The sequence below is a fragment of the Homo sapiens genome, chromosome 5 (genome assembly GCF_000001405.40).
Source record: "Homo sapiens chromosome 5, GRCh38.p14 Primary Assembly".
NCBI lineage: Eukaryota > Metazoa > Chordata > Mammalia > Primates > Hominidae > Homo > Homo sapiens.
In genome coordinates, this window is record NC_000005.10 from 89,826,477 (window position 1) to 89,848,580 (window position 22,104).

General features: G+C 36.3%; 1 long non-coding RNA gene across 1 annotated transcript; it reads right to left on the bottom strand.

Moving 5' to 3' along the window:
• Positions 1-607: 607 nt before the first annotated feature.
• LOC124901184 (uncharacterized) lies at positions 608-21,308 on the bottom strand. Its single transcript, XR_007059135.1, has 4 exons — positions 21,199-21,308; positions 13,012-13,134; positions 6,018-6,071; positions 608-1,786 (listed from the first exon to the last, which is right to left on the bottom strand). It is a non-coding gene; the product is annotated as an uncharacterized LOC124901184 (long non-coding RNA).
• Positions 21,309-22,104: the final 796 nt, after the last annotated feature.

Here is a 22,104-nt window from a genome sequence, read left to right on the forward strand (position 1 = left end):
AAGGTGTTGGAGGTTTTGGAAAACAGTCGTCAGCACTTTTCCTACCTGTGTACTCCTAACCAAAGTGAGAAGTAATGAACAAGAACCAAGGGGGATGAAAATGTAGTAAATGTGTTCACGGTAAAGCTAATTAAAGAACATAGCAGGTTTGCCTATTTCCCTTCTTGATTTAGATTTTGGTCTCTCTAGCTTGTCACAGAGAGAAAAGCTGGAAGATGGTGGACCTGCTAAAGCCAACTTTGTTTGTCTCTTTTCCACATGGAAGAAACTCACCTATGTTATTGATACCTAAAAAGGAAGAGTGAAACAAGAAGGAGATGGGCCTGTCTCTGTACTGTTTGAGCTTCAGGGCAGTGGCTTTACTTATGATGCAGTAGCAAACAATCCCCAAGTCGCAGTGGTTAACAAAAACACATATATTTTTTCCTCATGGCATCTGTCTGACACTGGTGGGCAAGGATGCTCTGTTCTTCAGACTCTCACAGGGACCCAGGCTGACAGACGCCTCATCTCAACCTGGGACTTCTTCAGTCACGGCAGCAGCAAGAAGGGAGAGTGGAAACTTATTCACCAGCTCTTAATGTTTACAGTCCTAAGTAACACATGCCACTTTTGATCCATATTTATTGAACAAAGCAAGTTGTGTGGCTACACACGAAAGAGGAAGTACCATCGTAACAGAAGCCATAAAGTGAAGGAGAATCAAAAATCTTTGGTAGACAGCATTCACAGCTACCACACGTGGGCTTAGTGAATGTCATTCGTCTCCCACAGGAGATGCAGGAATTAAAGAAGGCCCCAAAGGTCTTCACTCCAATACTGTCCCCTCCAAGACAGCGGAACATGCGATTTCCACATATGAAAAGAGAAAAGTAACAGTTCCCTTTTACCAGTAAAGGTAGGAAACAGAAAACAATCGTGAAGCTGCCCTGGAGGGCCACGCCCCACCTTCCCGGAGACTGTCGCAGTAAGTAGCTAGCAAAAACAGCTCTCCAAGGCCGCTTTACAGGCAGCTGAGAGAGGTCCTAGCCCCACAGACAGGCTCCAAATAGGAAGAGGGAGACTGTGCCTGCCACATTTGAGGAGGCCGCCTTCAAATTCATGCTGTATGTCTGGAGTCGCTGTGCCGAACAGGATCTGTGAGCTGGCTCTGTGCTGGGTGAGAAGTGTGCAGCCTGGTGCCAGAACGCGAGTGCACATCAAAATCCTGGCACAGGCTCTCCTCAGAAACGGACAGAAGACCAACTGTAACATACGGCTCATTCTTCTCACGTCATAAACGTAAAGGCATTAATCACTGGGAGGCCTCCCAGAAATTAAAGTTCATCTTTTGGTTATGGGGTGTCAAAAGGCAAATGCGGAATGTTTTAAATTTGCTTCGTTTTCCTGCGAGATAAAATACAGGTTTCCAATGCTGGCTCTATCATCAAAACAGTCTCCTGGCCCTGCCAAAGCTAACATAAAGAACCCAGAACTCCACACAGGTTTCTCATTTATAGCATAATTTCCTTCAAAGACGACTACTTTAAAATGTAGATTAACCCTTAATGTCTGAATTTTCCAAAGCGAAACTTTGAAACAATGAGGTCCCATCTGCCAGTGCTAAAAAACCAAGCAGCAAGGGAGTCACCCATGGCATTCTGCAGTGCGGGTGGGCGGGCTCTGCCTGGCCTGCTGACTGTCCATGCCGCAGTGAGCACCAGGCTGCACTCTCAAAGTGGAGCCTCGGGTCAGTCCTCAGGTGGAGAGATAACTGCTGTGCTCTCAAGCTATGTATTATGATCATCTGATAAAAGAAGAAAGAAATTCATGATCTGTTTTTTCTTCTTTGAGAAAGTACTAAAGCTTGTTTTTTCATTACCACCTAAATGAAACAATTCAAATGAAGCAGACACTCCTGAAAAGTGATCATCAGACATTTATCAGACTAGTCTTAAGAGTCTAAATATGAACACATGCGAACCGATTACTTCACATTCATCCCCCAAATGGAAGTATGTATTTGTTGATCTATGTATTCTACCTAATAACTTTTGCTTGTGAAAGAAAAGGGAAAGTGATAGTTGAAGGGACTGCAAACTCTCCATCGGAGTGTGCATGCCTACGTGTTTGTGTGTGTGTGTGTATGTGTGTATGTGTGTGCACCTGTGGGCTGGCTTACATGCTCACTTGCACAGTGTCATTACAAATTGAACCTGAATGACTTCAGGTGGGGGATAACCTCTTAATTTTCCACAGTCCTCACTAGTCCCTATTGTCTTAAAGCTTGATTTGCTTATTTATGCTACCTACTCTATTGATGTAGACATTTGAGTTTGCGTGTTAATGTTTTAAAGCAGCATGTAACTGTGCTCCATAACTATGCCTGCCTTTGAGGTCTTACTGAAAATGCAAATGGCAAGTCCTTAAATTCTGATGGACCACACCCACAGCATAAAATTTCACCTGGGAAATTGGAACAATACCAAAGGCCTATTATGAAGATTAGCATAGCATATGTAAAGGATCTAAACCCAGTGCCTGGCACATAGTATCACCAAAACATGGCACTCAGTAAATGCCAGCAATGATGATAGTGAAACATAACCTACAGGGTTAGTGTTATGATTGAGAAATTGGACTTTAGTGTATACAAGTCTGGGTTCGAATCCCAGTTTCACCATTTACCGGTCATGTGACTTCTTAGGAAAGGGAGATAAGGTTAAGGACACACATTTAAGAATCATTAAAGTGTGTGAGGTTTCCCAAAGGAGAGGAGTAGGTACATAGAAGGGATTTCATTGGTTTGAGAAGAAAGAGCCCTGTGGAAGAGCAGCCTTAAAAGGTTGAAGACCCAGAAGAATGGAAAGATCAGAAATCCAAGGGAAGATAAAATTTCAAAAAAGAAGAGACATTATTAAAACTGCTCAATTCTATTGCATAATAAGAGTACTATCAACAGACCCATGGAAGCTGGAACAGAAGAACTTTAAACCTAGACATTTTGTTGGCATCTCCCAAAGGATTCGAGGCATAACTCAATGGCCTAGTATAGAAAGCCCAAAGACTTCAGTATTCTGAACTGTGTCTGTGGGATCAGATTCCTCTAGAGAAATCATTTTCTCTGTGCATGGAACATAATAAAAAGCTTCAAACTGGTAACTAACAAAAGTAATTGCTGGAAAATACCTTGTTTCCCTCATCACTGAAGACCTGCTGGATAAAACGTATTTTTTAACAATAATTTTTCAATACAATCACTAATAAAATGTAAATAATAAAAAGGATAAACATCCGTTATAAAATTATCATTATTCATTCTCCATGCTTGATAATTTATTCCTGCCCTTTATTTATCTTCCAAATGCCCATTTTAATTTTTAAGTGATTGTATATCATTGGATTAAATTTGTCTTTACAGAATAAATGCTTTTGCCACATACTTTTCTTAACATGCAGCCTCTAGTGAATTCAATTTTTGACCTTATTTGGCTTTTCAATCCAGTGGGAAGTAACTTATTTTAAATAAAATGAGGAAGTCAACTTACCCTTAAACCCAGAGGTTAATCTCCATGTAAGCCATTTTTGCACATTTAATTGGTGTGGGAAATTTTGCTAAGATAACTTTTGCAGGGGCTTTACAGAATGCTCTTCAGAAAGCCTTCTTGGAGCTCATGAAATTTCCAGACTTCTTAACCAAAATAACATCTCTAGGCAAAGGATTATACTCACATATTGTGGTTGTGGGGCTTTCATAAGTTAATGCAGAATATCATATACATCTTAGGGGAAGATTTTACTTCTTGGTATAGGAGTCCACTTTTTGCACTTTTATAGTAGTTTCATCCCAGTGTTTGACACTGAGCATGTACTATAAGCACTATAGGGAATATGGAGATACTAGATATTAACAATACTACATCTTTAGGTAGACGGAAATTCACATATTGAAGGCCAACTATATGCTCTGCTATTGGATTAAGCAGGTATTCGCTAATACGCGAATATAGACGAAACAAGGCTGGATATACTTTTCACATGGAATAGGTAGTTAATATATAGTATGAGTTCAAAGGATTGCAAGTCACTTGTGGCTGACTATAGAAGGCTTCATGGAGGAGGTGCTGTTTTCACTTGGAAAATATAAGATATTAATTGATGTAATTAAAGATTACTCCAGGAGACAGAGATGGTATAAGCAGTCACTAAAATATGAAAATCTAAATATGTTTAGGGAAGGAGAATAGACTAAGATGCTCTAGGAAAAAAAAATAATCCCCTAGAGGGTTATTAGAGAGGTGAGGTTGGGAGCATATGGTGGGGTGAGGTCCTTAATTCCAGGGTGAGGTGCTTTATTAATTTGGTAGAAAGCTGGATGCTACTTAAGGTTTGGTAACCACGTTTCAGGATGATCAGTCTGTCAGGAATGCAAATGAGATATTGGAGTAATAAAAGTTTGGGGATAGTACGTCCTGTTGGAAGACTTAACAGCTGTAAATATTTCTAACAGTTAAGTGTCTCACTAAGATATTAGTTTTATGTTTCTGTATCTGGGAGTATAGCCACAAAATGAACAGAGATAGAACATCTAAAAAAGCAGGTTTGAAGGGCAAGCTGAGTTCTGTTTTAGGAAACGTGAATTGGAAGTGACTTCAGTGTATATATAGAGAAATGTCAAATAGACAGGTACATCTACAATAACTTCTCTAAAGCCCTGGGATCATTTATGTTTCAGAATCAGATGTTTGTAGGTTTTAGAAAGGTCACATGGAACATAAAATACATATTATCTAACAACTCCAGCATGCCTGAGGCAGCATCTAAAAATTAAACACAATTATAAGTGGCCTATAAACAGCATGATGTAAGTTAAGGTAAAATTTTACCACCAAATGAGTAGAAGTCAGATTAGATTTTACTGTCAAATGAATGAAAAGAAAGCTCTGAAAAGTTGCAGAGCTTTTGGATTTCAGAGTTGCCAATCAGGGGCCATGGGCTTGGGAAAGCTCAGGATGGAACTTTGAGTTGACACCTTCCTGAGCCCTGACCCAGCCCGGACTCAGGCTGTGAATTGTCCTGCCTTCCTCGCTCTCTCCCACTACTCTTTCCAGCTTGACATTAATTCATGATTTACATGGAGACCATGCCTCTGTCCTTGCTCTGCCCAGATGGACTCTGGGGAAAAACTCTGAGTCCCAGACTAAACTCACTTTGGCCTGTGAGCCCTACTGGTAACTTTAGCTCGAACATTTGGATTCCACACTGTAAGGGAAAACATTTACTGGAGCTTTCAATTTTTTGAATATAAAAATAATATATGTTATAAAAAATTTAGAAATTTGGAAGGAAATAATGGAGAAAATAAACATCACACATAATCCCATTATTTCAAAATAACCAATGTTAACATTTTCTGTGTTTACTTCCAGGTTTTTTTTTCTTTGAATATGTAGTAGATAAAGTATATCCTGTTTCTAACTGCCTGCCGTATCAACAAAGTAAATGTTAGAACCAGCATTCCAGTAACTCAGCACCCACACTTGGTCTTCTTCCCTAAAGACGAAGCTTGTCTTATTCACTGCTATATCACAAGGTATATTGTGGGCACTTGATGAATAGTCATTGACTATAAATTATGGAATAAATTAATGTATGCAAAATTCCAGGGCCTCAGAACCCTTTTTCCTGACAGTATTTGCTTACGGGAGCTCAAAGAGTTATCTCAGGTCTACCCATTGCACTCATTCCACAGTGATAGCTCCATTTTGTCTTTTCTTATTCTGACTCCTCTGGATGGATGCTTATAGCTGTGAAAAATGAGTTTCTCCATGTCTATATCACAGGCAGACATGGAATTAATCTTCCTCAAGGTAGTTTGCTCAGACCTGGTACTAAAGGGCACGTCAGAGTTAGGGACGCTAAAATTCCCAGCTGAGAAACAGTTCCTTGGTAGGGTGTCCACTGTACACACCAAAAAGTAAACATGCTCCATCCCGTCATGGGCCATAATAAATAGTGTTATAAGTTTCCATACTCACCACACAGCAGCATGTATCCCTGATTAATGGTCTTCAGGAATATTTCTCATCAAACTAGAATGTGAAGTGGAAGACAAGTCAAACTTTAGTAACTCTTTTGATATGAATCTTATGAATATGTGATACCACTAGAAGAAAGCAGCAGTTGGTTTCATACTTTTTAGAAATACACAAAAGAAATAAATAGAAAAACACAAGTCTTTCAGGTTTGCTTGATTTGTTATTTATTGTTCGGGGGGAAAAAGCTATAATTATTTCATCTAGTTCAAAGAGACAAAATAGTCTGGGGCTATACTGAATAAACCAAATTTAGACAAACCATCCAAATAAAAAGAAACACAATGTTGTAAGTTAAAATTTTGTACCTCTAAGACAAAAAAAGCTCCCTATCCTTGCAGTTTACAAGATGCCCCAGAGGCTGGGTGGAGAAGTGCCTTTTCCTCGCTCTTTCTTCACCCTCCCCATAACCCAACATCATCTTCACTCTACCTCTTTCTTCTTCCAGTACAGGTAGCACGATATGAGCAGGGTTTAGTCTTCTTGATTGCAATATACATATTTTAAATCTTAAATAGAATTGTGGCCACATGCTTGCCATCAACTTCAATTGCAGTAATGTGATCAAATTACTGTCTACCTAATTAACCTCTGGGTCCAGCTTATCACAAGGATCTCAGAGTCCTAACATTTTTAAACAAGGGCAATCAACTATATGCATACAAAGCGCTTGGTTGCATTTAATTGTATAGGTATCATCGTGACCACAAATCCATGGAGATGAAACAAGACTAAATAAAGGTACAATTTATTTGCAAACCCCTACCAATGGAAAAACTGGCCATGTCTAAGCCAGCTAAACAGATATACAACCTAACATTACTATCTGCACAACTAAAGTTAAATGCTACAATGACAATACTTTCAGTAACCGTTTGCTTGAGACTGGATATGATTTTTCTGGATAGGTAGGGCAGTTCCCCAGCTTTATCTTTCTGTAGATCATCCTCTTCACACAGAAAACCTGGTATAACTTCCCAGCCTCTATCTATACAGTCGTTCTCATTAAATATGTTTTTAAAAAGTGATCAATCAGATATCTTTAGCACTCCAGAGAAACGGAGGGTGAGAAGCAGTCTTCTAAATATGTTGATATTAACTGGCTACATGAGTTATAATTTCTTTACAAACACCTTTCATCAAACTCTCCATCTGAAGTTACCCATTTTAGTTAATGATATAATCCTTTCTCTCTGAACCAATTTCATAGATATAAATGTAAATTGTATTACCAATTCTCAATGTTTCATTACACTTATCTCTGCAGTTCCACTATAATGAAGACTTGCATCAATTCATACATACAATCTCTACCTGATCTTATTGCCACCAGACTCTCTCCTCTCTGTTTTCCTTATACCTATTTGCCAAGCTAACTTCTTAAAAATCTTATTAATTGTGCATTTACAGAACCTAAAATAACTTCTGGTATCTAGTATAGTAAAACCTGTAGTCCTTAATAATCTGGTCCCACCTGTATCATTTTTTCCCAACTGTATCACTTTCCGTGACTTGCCAATGTGTGCCTTTTACTCCAGTTTGATGAGTTTCACCTATGTTTCCCACCTCATCTGTAAATTCCTCTGCCTCCTCTTCATCCAGAAATCCCTCCCCTCCTTAAGTCCCATTCCAAATATAGCTCTTCCAAAAATATTCACTTTCTTCACAAACTGCACAAAGTGTTCTTTCTGCTGTCATTTTCATTTATTCTACAATTTTGGTTTTTGTCCTGTATTTTGTAATTATTAAATGAAATAAATTCTCTCATACATAAATTCAATTGCCTTCATAAAAAAGAGCATGTTATATTTTGTGCCGATATAACTCAAAGCACAAAAGTTACCACATAATGGTCATTTGAAGTATTAATTAAATAATTTTAGATTCTCTGCTATTGGATCTAATAATTATTTTTTCATTTCCTAAATCCATATTGTAATTGTTGGTACCAGACATCTCATTTCCCTCCATTTGTTTTATATTTGCAAGTTTTGTTTTGAATACTTAATAGGTCTTATGTCAGTACTGTTCATTTATACCCCGATTTATTGCCCCCAAAATTCAAGGTGGTTTACAAGAACACATGTTTATCTTGTATTACTCATTGGTAGGAAATAAGAAAAAAAAAATTAAAAGAATGTAATCTGTTATCCACATTCAAATATGCCCTAGGTGACTTCAAAACAAAGCCTTTTAATAAACAGATAAGCACTATGTTAAGTTTTTCAACTGGCTGAGAGATCCACGTGTATCCAATTATCTTTCCTTGCTTTAACCATGAGCCTTAAAAATATCTTCCAGGCTGGGCTTGATGGCTCATGTCTGTAACCCCAGCACTTGGGGAGGCCAAGTTGGAAGGTTCTTAAAAGGCTAGAAGTTCAAGACCATCCTTGACAACATAGTGTGACCATCTCTCTAGTATAATAAAACATGTTAAAAATATTGCATTTTATGTGGTTGGTTTGTTGGGATTTTTGTATTGATTAGTTTCCATATTTCTATTTTTCCTTAGTTTTAATTTTATAAAATCTTTAATTCAAAAGAGTTTAAAAGAGCCAAATAGTCCCAGAATTTTTTTTTTTTTTTTTGAGTCGGAGTTTCGTTCTTATTGTCCAGGCTGGAGTGCAATGGCGCAATCTTGGCTCACTGCACCCTCTGCCTCCCAGGTTCAAGCAATTCTCCTGCCTCAGCCCCCCAAGTAGCTGGGATTACAGGCACGTACCACCACACCAGGCTAATTTTTTTGTATTTAGTAGAGACAGGGTTTCACCATTTTGGCCAGGCTCGTCTCAAACTCCTGACCTCAAGTTATCCCTGCCTTGGCCTCCCAAAGTGCTGGGATTACAGGTGTGAGCCACTGCACCTGGCCCAGAAATTTTATTATGAAAATTAGTAAATCCCCACTTCTACTTTCCAATTTTCCCCCTCCATAGCCACAATTTTTATCTCTCTTAGCCAATTATGTTGGTATATATCACCATGTTTCTACTTTTCACCTGATTATTTTGGCATAACTTACCATATTTCTAAAGAACATAATCTTTTTTGCTGCTTCTTGAGTTTGAGTTCTCAGTTTTAAGTATTGTTTATATACTTCCACTGCAGATCACAAGCATTTAGCATTCTCTCCTCTCAACCGCTCACCCCCTAATATTTAGAACAATTTCACCATATTCCGTGGAAGTTACATTGTAACTTCTTTAGATTAATATTCAGAGTATACATTATTACAATAATAAATTTTTTCTTTAAGCTGAGCTGTGTAATAGACTATAATCAGTGATACGGTTTGGCTCTGTGTCCGCACCCAAATCTCATCTCAAATTTTGATCCCCATACTTCCCATGTGTGGAGGAAGGAACCCTGTGGGAGGTGATTGGATGATGGTGGCAGTTTCCCCATGCTGTTCTCATGATAGTGAGTGAGTTCTCATGAGAGCTGATGGTTTTAAAGTGTGATACTCACTCATTCTCCCACACACTTCCTCCTGCCGCCTTGTGAGGAAGGTGCCTGCTTCCCCTTCACCTTCTGCCTTGATTGTAAGTTTCCTGAGGCCTCCTAGCCATTCTTCGTGTTAAGCCTGCAGGACTGTGAGTCAATTAAACCTCTTTCTGTTAAGCCTGCAGGACTGTGAGTCAATTAAACCTCTTTCGTTTGTAATTACCCAGTCTCAGGTAGTATTCTTTATAGCAGTGTGAGAACAGATTAATACAATTAGTTTTCCCTAGTTATTGCATATTTCTGTTGTTTTCCCTAGTTATTGCATATATCTTATTCATTTGCTTGGTTCTTTTTACACTCATTACTAATTGAGCTCCAAACTCTATCAATTACTAAATCTCCTCTTTAGATGTTCAGATGTGTCAGGCATTCAGTTTCAACTGCTTAAAGAGGATTTTTTTCCAGGAGCCTCTAGATTTACCCTTCAGAGCTAATTTCCTTGTACAAGTAGTGCACAGCTTTTAGTCTGGAGTCTTCCTTTCACTGCTTTTCTGTGCTGGATCTCGTGCTGCCCAAATCTCATGTGTTCACTATTCTTGTTTTATTCATTTGATTGGTGGAACACATTCTCCAATATCTTATTAGGTAAAGAAATGTGTTATTTGAGAATGTGAATGGTTGAAAATAGTCTTGAGTCTCCGATGATTGATACCTGGCTACGTAGACTTCTAATTGGGCATTCTTTTTCTTTAGAAAATTTTTGAAGATAGTTCTTCATTGACTTTTAGGTTCAATGTTACCTTGAAAAGTCCAGAGTTATTCTGATTACTTTTAGTAGATTTGCTTTATTTTGTTTCTTTCTTCTCCCTGAAACTATATATACTATTTCTTCCTTTGAATCCTTGATTATGAAATTTTGTGATGATTGTTTTGGTGTGTGGTGATTCCAACATTTATATAAAACCTCAGGAACCATTTCAATCTGAAAAAAGAAATTGTTTTATTACAAGAAAATAATTAATGTTTTACTTCTCATTTTTTCTATTTTTTATAGAATTTCTATTTTTCAGGTATTAGACCTACTAGACTGGTCCTGTAAATTTCTCATTTTTTTTCTCCTGTTTTCAATGTTGTTGACATTTTTGCTCTATTTTCTGGAAGATTTTCTCAACTTCTTCCAACTATCTCTTTACATATTTTTTTCTCTCATTAAATTTTAAATTTCTAGTTGCTTTATTTTTTTGGCTTTCTTTATGTCCATTTTTATAGTACCCTGTTCTTGTTTTATGGTTACAATATTTCTTCTTCCTTTTTAAAATGTTCTTCTTTCTCCTCTGTTTTTTTTTCTGATTATTTTGTTACACTTCCTGTATTTCATGTTAGCAATTAACATTATAATATTTGGTCATCTATCAATATTTACAAAATAATCACATCCTTTGTGTTTCTCAGTTCCTAATTGCATTTTAAGATGGAAAACATATGGCTTCTGATATTTAAACTCCATTTTATATATGAAGAAAAAGATAACAAGCATATAATGTAGCAACTACACTGATAAATTTGAAAATTCAGTGGAAAAAATTAATAAGCCAATAAAAACAAGCTTTTAATAATTAAAGAAAATTATAATCTGCTGTAATATTTGACAAAAATTTCTATTTCATTTATGCAATGGAAAGTAATCTCTATGGCTATTGCAACATCTAACTTTCTCAATCTATAATCATGGAAGTCCTATTTGGAAAAAAAGTTATTTCCACCCTGAACAAGGACCATGACAAGGGGAAAAAGTAATTAGAAGCTAGTGTAAAAGACCAGCTTTTGGTAATTTTGAGCTAATGAGATAGGTAGACTATGCAGGAAATTCAATTTGGCATTCAAAGATATATAGATAAAGAATTTAAAGAGAAATCAGTTTTCTAGCCCCCAAATAGTTTCTCAGATAAAGAAAGTAGAAAATTTTGACCCACAGCATGTTATTTTCAGACCAAATGAGATTTGTACTTTTTCCAAAGTGTTTTGTGCGTGTTTAAAGTTAGAAAGATGAAAACCCCATTAGCAATAGACTATTTTTCATGACTCAATTAATATCTAGCATTTGCAGGCTCTTCATAAGATAGGTGATAGAAAGATCAATCCACAGTTTTATTCATAAAGGCAATTTGCCACAGATCTTTAGCATGTTAGCCAGCTAAGAAAGAAAAATAAGCAGTAAACGAAGGAGTGGTCATATAAGCACTATAGATAATTGGTTTCAGATGATCTTCTATTCTTTCTGTAAGAGTAAGTTCTCAAATGCAACAAAGCTTAAATTCCCCAAAATTAATAATTAGTTTAATAAACATTTTTAAGTAAAAGTTTTGTAAATAAAATTACTAGATATTATACCTAATAAATAAAAACTGGGGATGAACCTTATTTTTTAAAAGAAAAACATGTTTAAATCCAAGAGCTTCAGAATTAAAAATCATTCACAAGCATACAAAGAACCATGTATGTATATGTGATTCAAAACTGAACAAACTAGGTTATCAAAAGTTTAAAAGAATGAAAAAATACCGAAAAGTCAGAAAATTATGCAGGAGAAACAAAGTTAGGATGGTGTGTGTTATCCTCCACTAACACATACTTATTTTTGGAGCTTCTTCCTTATTTGACTTCTCTTTGAGTCATAGGCACAGTAGATACGAATAGACTTACAAGTACAACTCAGGAAATCCCAAAAAGCTAATAGGTATTACATGAGAAATTTTTAAACTTTGAAGTAATGTTTATAATAGGAATTAAAAAATATATCTTATGTTTGTTCAGCTGAACTTAGATTTATTTCCATAATAACCAATAAAATTAATGAAAATGAAAATATTCTAAAGCTGTTTAATATTCCAAATTTAGATAAACACGAAAAAATGTTTTACTAAACACCTTTGCATTAAATCTATAATAAGCAATAATAATATACATGATTTGGAGACAGGCAATTCTTGAGCCTATCTATATGTATATCAGATATATAAATACAATATTTAAAACAATATAACCTGCCAGCTCTCTGCTCTTTGAAATTCTCTACCAACTTTAACTCAGAATTTGATTACTCAGAAGAAAATTATTGTTAAAAGTTGAAAGGATCTCTACAATGCCTATGCTAGTGATAGGTTTTTTCAGGCCTGGGAGAAATAGCCTCAAACTTGAGTCCGCAGGATATGTCTTCGGTGCAACAGTAAATGCTGTTTTGCCTCAAAGAGTAGTGGGAACGACAGGAAAAGAGTGAAGAGTGAACATGCTGGTCAGCATATAGAGCTGAATGTAAGACATCCTCTCACAAGAACTGTGTTTCCAGCAAAATCCATTTACTTCATTTGATTGAAGGCTGAGCAGCACTATGGGAAGAGAGCCATGTTAGAAAGTGAGAGAATTAGCCTGGGCGATAGAGTGAGACCGCATCTCTACAAAAAATTTTTAAAAATTAGCTGAGCATGGTGGCACATACCTGTAATCCCAGCTACTAGGGAGGCTGAGATGGAAAGATCACTTGAGCCTGGGAGACAAAAGCTGCAGTGAGTTGAGATTGTACCACTGCACTCCAGCCTCAGGAATACAGCAGATCCCCTGTCTTAAAAAAGAAAAAAGGAAAAAAAAAAAAAAAAGTAAGAGAAGTAAATTCTGGTTATATCTTGGCCACTAAAGATACAGGACTACAACACTGAACTTCTCTGTATGCCAGTTTTCTCATTTGTAATGGGTTATGGTCAAATCAATTTAGAAAGTTGAAGGAATTATAGAGGAAACATCTATTAAACAAGAGAATAAATTTCAGTAGCACGCTTCATTGCCTGCAATGTCATAACCGGAAGTAGTAATACTAAAGGAGGCTGGCAGTGATAGAAATTAGATCAGTGAAAAGGCAATAAAGAGAAGGGGCAAGAGACAAACCTTAGAGCCATTTGACCTCATTTATGGAGTGTGGAAAATGATGAAGGTAATTTCTTAGTCCAACCATTTCTACCATCAGCCAGCAGGTATCACAAGGCAGAATGCAAAAGGTTTTCTTTTCCAAGACTATGAAGGCAAAGCTAGTAATTTATCAACCGTGTTCCATTTGGATATTTCATAGAAAGAACTATTTATTAATAGATCTCTTTCTCAGTAATGCCATCCAAATAGAAACAGTGTGAACATTTTAAACTAAATTATTAAGTAAAAAAAGTTTTAGTTTGATTTATAAGTCTCTTTTCAAACACTGTTACTCTTAAACTTTGTAGAAAATTCAAAGTCATGTGTTTTTAGCATTTAAACCAAGGGTAGACCATGTATTTTAGATGATTAGGAAGAAAACTAGATGCTGTTATAAATATAGTTTAAAGAGACAAAAATAGATTCACCAAAATAAATAAATAAATAAAGTTTTCCAGATTATCCACAATACCACATGAAACAAGAAGGTATTTTCATAGTAATATTTCCATGAGACTGTAAAGAATAATTCCACCCATTTTTATACTAGAATTCTAACAATTCTGGTCATGAGAGGTGTTCTAAGCCATGGTTTCTGTAAATGGTACAATTTTATTTTATTTTTTGCCTTGTTGTTTTGAAATGAGATTGGCTATGTGCCTGGTGCTTTTTATAAGAATACATTTCTCAGTAATATCTGAATAATTTAGCTTTATTATATAGTATTTACAGGAACAACAGTAGATATTCATTTAAAACAGCATTTAATTCTATACACAGTCTCTAGTTCTTTCCCCTTTCCCTTGACTGTCAACGGAAAAATCACTATAAAATTTGAGGCATTAATAAATTACTAAATGTTTCTTTTCCTTTTCTCTAAGGTTAACTTACTTGTTTTTCAATTCAACATTTGTTAGGTTCTTCGATTCCAAGATTAATTTTTTGTTGCTCTAATGTAATGTTGCATATTCATTTGCAAAACAAAGACACATGGGCAAAAACTTCTGCAATATTGTCTGTCTAGGGACAGCTCTGAGGATTACAATATGTTCAGCTCTCAATTTTTTGAAACAACTTAGGGATGCAGTCTTTAGTTGAATTTCAAGATGGATTCTAATTTTTACATGGATCCTTCTGGCAAGGAAATTCTGAGTACCTTAAGGAACTGAAATAAAAAGTATAAGGCATGGATTCTTGAAATCCCCCCTCCATCTAGATGAAAATGAGCATAGGAAAACATATTGTGATAATCCAAAACATTCATTATGAAAATCATGTAAGATTTGAAACTCTCTCTGCAAGCTGCATTTGATTACAAACTTCTCTTGGGACTATGCCTAGGTATTCTTGGGCTTGTAACCAGACTACATTGCTTAGCCTACCAGCCATCACTTAACATGTTTTAATATCATTCAATGCCACAAGACCTATACTGTGCAAAAGTCCACATTTGATACACTCTCCACAGAGTCCTGATTTTTTTTCCCCAAAATTCCATATTAAACTTAGTAGCAACGTTAAAAATTCTCACTGTCCATATCTTCTATGATATTGCTGCTTTTTTTAGTTTTCTGAAAGTTCTGCTCGTTCTTCCATTAGCATTCCATTGATATTATATCTCCATGCCCAATGTTGAACTACAGGTATCTGATGGCAATGCTAGCTCTATTTACACTGCAGAGGGTCATATCTTCACTCACCCAGCAAGAACAGTAAAAAGTGGCCTGGAATGAGGAGAGATCTGAAGGAGGAAAGAAATAAGCAAAGGGGAGGAGAAGGGTCAGAGAGAATATTCTTACTTGAATTCTGTTCTATTGTATTCAATGATCACGCATATTCATCAGCAACACTCTATATTCAGAAAATGTGCCCCATCATGGTATGGTTTGATGTATGAAACTAGAAGGTACCCAGTCATAAGGGAAATTTGTAAAGAGGCCCTTAGATTCATATAGCAAAGGGTAGGCAAGGAGGAATTTTAGATTAATATTTCTATAAAACGTCACTTTTGTATAACTTAATACTTCTGTTTCAATCTTTAGTTCTTCTATAATTCTTAGAGGGCAATGACAAGCTTTTCATTCTGGAATTCAAGATCTTTCCAGTTTGACTCTGAACTACTTTTCCAGTTTTACTTCTACTTCTCATAAAAACTAGACAATTTTACAACTTTGCTTTAGATATCCCTTTTGTCTCTTTATTTTCCCCCTAGAACACCCTCCCCAGGCTTTTCTTTTTATTTATTCAAACCTCATTAATCTTTCAAGGCACATTTCAAATGCTTCTGAAATGCCTTTCCCATTAAACTCAACTGTATTTAAAAAGTAGAATTTGCTCTCTTCACCTGGATAAGTCTGGCCTCACCTTCTTTTGAAGTTCTATAATCCTGTATAATATTTATTTATTCATTCAAAAAGTGCTTCCTCAGTTCCTACTTGTACAACAGTACACACTTGTATAAGCAGCAAAAATATAGGCCTTCCAGGTTACATGCTAGAAAATTAAGGCAATCACATGCAACTATACTATAAGTGATAATGTAAATGGTATAGGTAAAGGGTAAACAGAGTGCTATAAAGCATCAGGGGAAAAAAACTTGATTTAGACAGAGGCAATAGATGTCATTTTAGCAGAAAATCCTAAAGTATTTCTTGAGTTCAGTTTCCCCTCATGTTACTTTTCATATAGTGCACTATGGAATTTTATTTTCACTTTGCTTGCATTCCATCTGTGGTTTATTAGTTCGTTTTGAATGTGGGGACTTTCTCAATTTACCTCCAGCTGGAAGTAACAGGAAACCTTGACAGCTGGCTTACACAACAAGAAGATGTACTTAAAAAATACAGGAAACCTAGACAAAGTGTGATGCTGGGTTGGTTCAGAGAGTGGCTCACCTCTGCTCCATCATCAGAAGACTCTTGGCTGTTCTTGGACCTTCTCCTCCCATGTCTACAAGATGATTGCAATAGTTGTGAGCTTCACATCTAAACAGGACTATGTCCAGAAGAAGAGGGAGGACATTCATTTTTTGTTCCTCCTTTTACGAATAAATAAGCCCTTCCCAGGAACCTAGCAGCAGACTATTTAATAACTAAAATTGTCTCACAGGCTGATGTCTAAGCCATCATTGGCAAAGGAAGGGGGGCATCAAATTGGTTAGACAAATTAAAAGCCTCTTTTTGACCAAAAGGAGAGCAGAACCAGCCTTTCCTGAGCACATGGCTGCCTAGAGGAAGATGAACATCTGGACAATATTAAGAGGGAGGGAATAGATTTTGAAGAGACTGTCAAATAGTCTGTCTCAGGGACAGTTATGTGATAACTCACTATCCTAAAGGATGCTTCTAAAGTGCCTTGATTATAGCATGAATTTATTAAATATTTGTTATTTTTAGTCAAGTAAGAGAAAGAGAATCAAATTCATCCTCTTTAAACTCCATTCATCAACAGACAAGCAAAGGATCAGCACACAAATGAACCCAAGACACTGGCTTACTAATCAAGTGTGGCAAACAGAAAACCAATAACTGCCCTCACTGCCATCCCAGAGACAGAAAAAAAAGAGACACAGAAAGGCTTTGTGGCTTTTAGAAATCATAGGCCTAATTAGAATTATTCTAGTGATAGACATAAACTCCAAGAGTCTTGTGTAACCAAGACCAGCTTAGCCCAACTTGGTTAAGTTTGCCTTTAGTTCTATTCACGATTCTTTGAGCATCAATCCCACTGAACTTGGTTAAAAAAAAAATCATGTATTTAATTTCTCCAAAAATTATAATTCTACAAGTTTAAACAGTGCAATATAAAATCATTAGGTGCCTTCTATTTGTTTGTATACACATATATCGGCAGTATGACATCTTACACAAATGCACTACTGATTTGAATAATCTTTCTTCTCTTTGAGGAAATTATTTAAATCATGAATCATAAAAATGTCCTCAGAAGAAAAAAAATCATTCTATAATTACTTCCAAGAATGAAATATAACAATACAGCCTTTTTCTCTACATCTTAGCCTTCACAACACTATGATAAATGGGTATTTTCAAACCCATATAACAGATGTGGAATGTGAGGTTTAAGGACGTTAAATGCATATTCTGAAGTCACATATCTATAAATCAGGAAGCTGGGACTTATATCCAGGTATGCCATATTCCAAAGCCCAAACTTTTAACTGTCATTCTATAATCTTTTATAATATTTTTACTTACTTGTGGTAAATTTTATTTAAGTGAAATCTGATGTAACCATGAATGAGCCACAGAACATGTTAATTCACTGATTCAGTCTGTTCCCAGAAAAATAATGTGACACCCCTTAATTCTTGCATGGAATGAAGAAAATAATTCTATACTATATGAACTTCAAACCGAATAATTATCTCCATCTAAATACAAATAAAGATGCTCCCCATCATAAAAGGCATCATGACATGAGCCTTATTTGAAATGATAAGAATTATTGCATTTAGTTTCCTAGAAGTTTAAAGTGGATCTACATGGAAACCAGTCTCTCACTTTGACTGACAGCCACCTTTCCCTGTATTTTCCTGCATTATTGCATGTCTCAAGACAATCCATACTCAACACAGAACCAGTGTGATTTTTAAAAACACAAATCACTTCTCTGATGTTAGCAGGCTCACTGTGGAGCTGAATTCCCACCCCACCCAGCAGCAATGTGGTGAAACTAGCAAGATTAGTTGGCACCTCACTTCTCCCCAGCCCTGCCAGTGTCAGCAGGACTCAACAAGGAGCAAAACTTTCACCCTCAGCAGGAAGCAATGAGGCAGTGCAAGCTCTGCTTTCACCAGGGAGGTGTCAGTAGAGACCAGCAGGCAGCAAAGTTTTCACACCCACCCTCCACAATGAGGCAGAGTAAGGTGATGAAAATTAATACCTTGTTTATGCCAGAGTTGGGACAGCAGATCTCAAGCAGGGAGCTAACTCTCCACTCCCAATTGAACCTGCATGTTACACCTGAGCATGGTGATTTCCTATGAATTAAAGAACATTCAGTAACATTCAGAACCTCACAAACATAATGCCCAAAATGTCCAGGATACAATTGCAAATCATTCACTAAACCTAAAACAAAGGAAATCTCAACTGGGATGGGAAAAGACAATCAATTGATGGCAATGCTAAGATGATACAAATGTTGTAATTATGATAGCTGATTTTTAAAGCAGGTATCATAAAAATGCTTCAATTAATTATAGCATACAAACTAAAACAAATGAAAAACATAGAAAAATCTCAGCAAATAAATAGAAAATGCAAAGAGAAGTGAAAAGTTTAAAACTAGAAAATACAGTAATCAAAATGTTAAAACTCATTGGTTGACTCAATAGTGAAATAAATATACAGAGAAAAGAATCAATAACTTTAAAGGTGGAATAATGGAAATTTCTGGATCCAAAAAACAGAGAGAAATTAGACTGAAGAGAAATAAACAAATATCAGGAAGCTGAGGGACAATAAAAAAAGATCTAACTTGCATATTATTGAGAAGTCAATAAGCAGTGTGTAGCTGAAAAAGTATTTGATGAAATAATGGCTAAAAATTTTCAAATTTGGTGAAAGACATAAACTTATATATCCAAGAGTAAACCACAAACAGGATAAACCCAAAGAAATCCATGCCAAGATATATCATACACCATCCTCAAAGAACTAAAGAAAAAAAAGAACCTTGAAAACAGTGAAAGAAATGACACATTACTTACAGAGGAGTCATTATTTGAATGACAGTAGGTTTATCATCCTGAACTACAGGAGCCACAAGGAAGGGACATAATGTTTTTGAAATGCAAAAAAACAGTCAATCCTGAAGTTTACACCCAGCATTCCTTTTTTAGGAATGAAGATAAAATCAAGACATCTTCAGATGAAGGAAAACTAAGACAATTTGTCATCAACAGACCGACTCTAAAAGAATGTTCTTCCAACATAAATGAAATGAATTAAGAAGGAAATTGTAACATTAAGAATGAAGAAATAACTATGAAAAGAGCCAAAAAATGGATCACTAAAACAAACTATCTTTCTTCTTCTGAGTTTTCTAAATTATATTGAGACAGTTCAAGAAAAATTACATTGTCTGATGTGGTTCTCAATGTAAGTAGAGGAAATATTTAAGCAACAATGATATAAAGAAGAGTGGGTAAAGGGACCTATATCCAGATAAGTCTTCTACTCTTTACTTGAAGTGGGAAAATGCCCCTAGCAGAGTGTGATCAAAATATAAATCAGATTATATCACTTTCTTGATCAAACTTCTTAATTCTGATATCTTAAAAAGTAATCATCAGATTTTTTTATTTTAATATTCCAACTGCTGCAAGAGTACTATGAAACTGGCTCTTTGTCATTCACCCTTCAATGGATTTCCATTGCATTTTGAATAAACTCAAACTCCTTAATCTGACCTAAAATGAGATTCTGGCCATTTCTAACCTCTCTGATATCATTTATTAGCACAGTAGCTCCTAGCACTACCCTCAAACCATAGCAGGTTCCTTCTTCTCCTGGTCTGTACCAACTCATTTCCCTTGTTGGGCCTTTGCACTTGTTTTGCCCATCATTTGGAAATCTTTACCCCAGGCTTCGCACAGTCAGCTTCTAGGAATTATTCACTGCTCAAATCACATCCACAGTGATCTCTCCTGACTACCTAATCTAAAACAGATTCCCTCAATTCTTACACACCACCTCTCTTTCATTGTCTTCACGGCACTGTCACCTTTAAAAATTATCTTGTTCATTTACCTGTGTGCTCTTTTGTTTTGTCTATTTCCTTTTCCTAGAACATAAGCTCCATGAAAGCAAGGACCTGGCTTATCTTGTTCACTGCTGAATTTTCAGCACATAAAGCAGTTCATAGCACAGAACAGATACAAAACAAGTATTTGTTGAATACATGAATATCTATTGTTTTCTCTAAAAATCTGTTTAGATAAGGATGGCAAATGTGAAATTCAAACTGTTGTATAGACAAAAGACTGGATTGTTTTTACCAGTATTAACTTAGAAACATTTTTCATAAGCAACATTTCCAAAATCTTTCTACCTATCTCTGTAGAAATAGCAAGAAGCATTTTAATGTGAGCATATCTTTAAAAATAAGTATAAAAAACAGATTTGGTTTCAGCAATATTTTTGCCCTTCACATTTGGGAAACATTCTTTCTTATCTACAAAACTGAAAAGAGAAAATCCTTGTGAATTTATGTGTACTGCTTTTTCTATCTTAATGTATTTCTACCGTGCCATAGAGCATTAAATTTAAGAAAATTATGGTGGGCCTAGAGCAGGAACTGATAACTAGTTAATACATCTGACCTCCATAATCTTCCACTATCTTAAATATCTCATAGTGCAAAATATATTGCATTTTATTACAACTCACCAGATCATAAATGATTCTATGTGTTCATGAATATTGTCTAAATTGACCAATATCTTAGTCTGATTTCCCCAGGAAGCAGAGCCTGAAACAAAAACTTCAGTCTGAATATTTTATTAGAGTGCAAACCCAGGCAAATACAAGTGAGAGAGAGAGGAGTGAGCCAGAGAGGAACAGAAGAACTAATAATTGGATGTTTTACAGAGCTGGTATCAAATGCAACTCACTTTATCAAGTGAAAAAGATCCCACATGTTCACTACCAAAGTGGTAATTCTCTCTAGGTCTAGGAAAGGGGAAAAATTTACCCACTTGATCTAGCCTCCATTGGTCATAGATTTGTTCTTCAGAGCGGAAATTTCTAGCTCCCAGTCTTCTGTTCCTCCTCTCCCTGCATCTGGACTTCCGGATTGTACTCACATAAATGCTCAGCAGCTCCTTTGGGGTCTTATATGTCAGTATCAGCAAGGAAGCCCCCGGGCAGTAAGTGGGCATGGTCAGATTGTCTTTGTGAAATATGTTGGAGCTCAAACAGAACTGGCCACGTCAGCTGCTCTGGGACAGGACAAGGTAACAGAGACATGTAAGAACTACAGATCCCAGATATGTCTGATTCATCCACCCACTCCACTCGTTAGTGCTGACTAAACCTGTAATCTTATTATAAACCTAGGAAAAGCCATGATCAGTGAACAAGATTTAGAGCAGTAGAATAGGAAATGTCTACCCTTAGGGAAAAGGAGCTCCATTTGATAACTGCCAGTTCTGTGACAAGTACTGGGCTGAGCACTGGCTCCAGCACTTCCCGTATATTACCTTTAGAGCAGGAGACAGCATCCTTCTGCTCTGGAATACTGGCTTTGCTGTTGAGCAGTGCTCTTAACACTTCTGGAAATCAGGAAGGCTTTGAGCATCAGAGTGCAGAGAAAGAGAGATGGAAACGAAAAGAGGAAATAGTAGAGCAGAATGGGCAGCAGGAAGAACTAAGCATTTCAAATAGCTGTAGAGTGTACTGCCCCTAAGTACTCTAGGAGCTATTCAGACATTTGTGTCACTGATATTCAAGCTGTGGCCTTGAAAAGAAGACCCAGAGAAAAGAGGAAAGTGAACAATCACTTAGGAGACAGGGACAATTCAAATCAGGTATTAAATTCAAACAAGAAAACACAAGTGAACCTTAACAAAAATAATTTTTAAAACTTAACTCAAAGCAAGTAC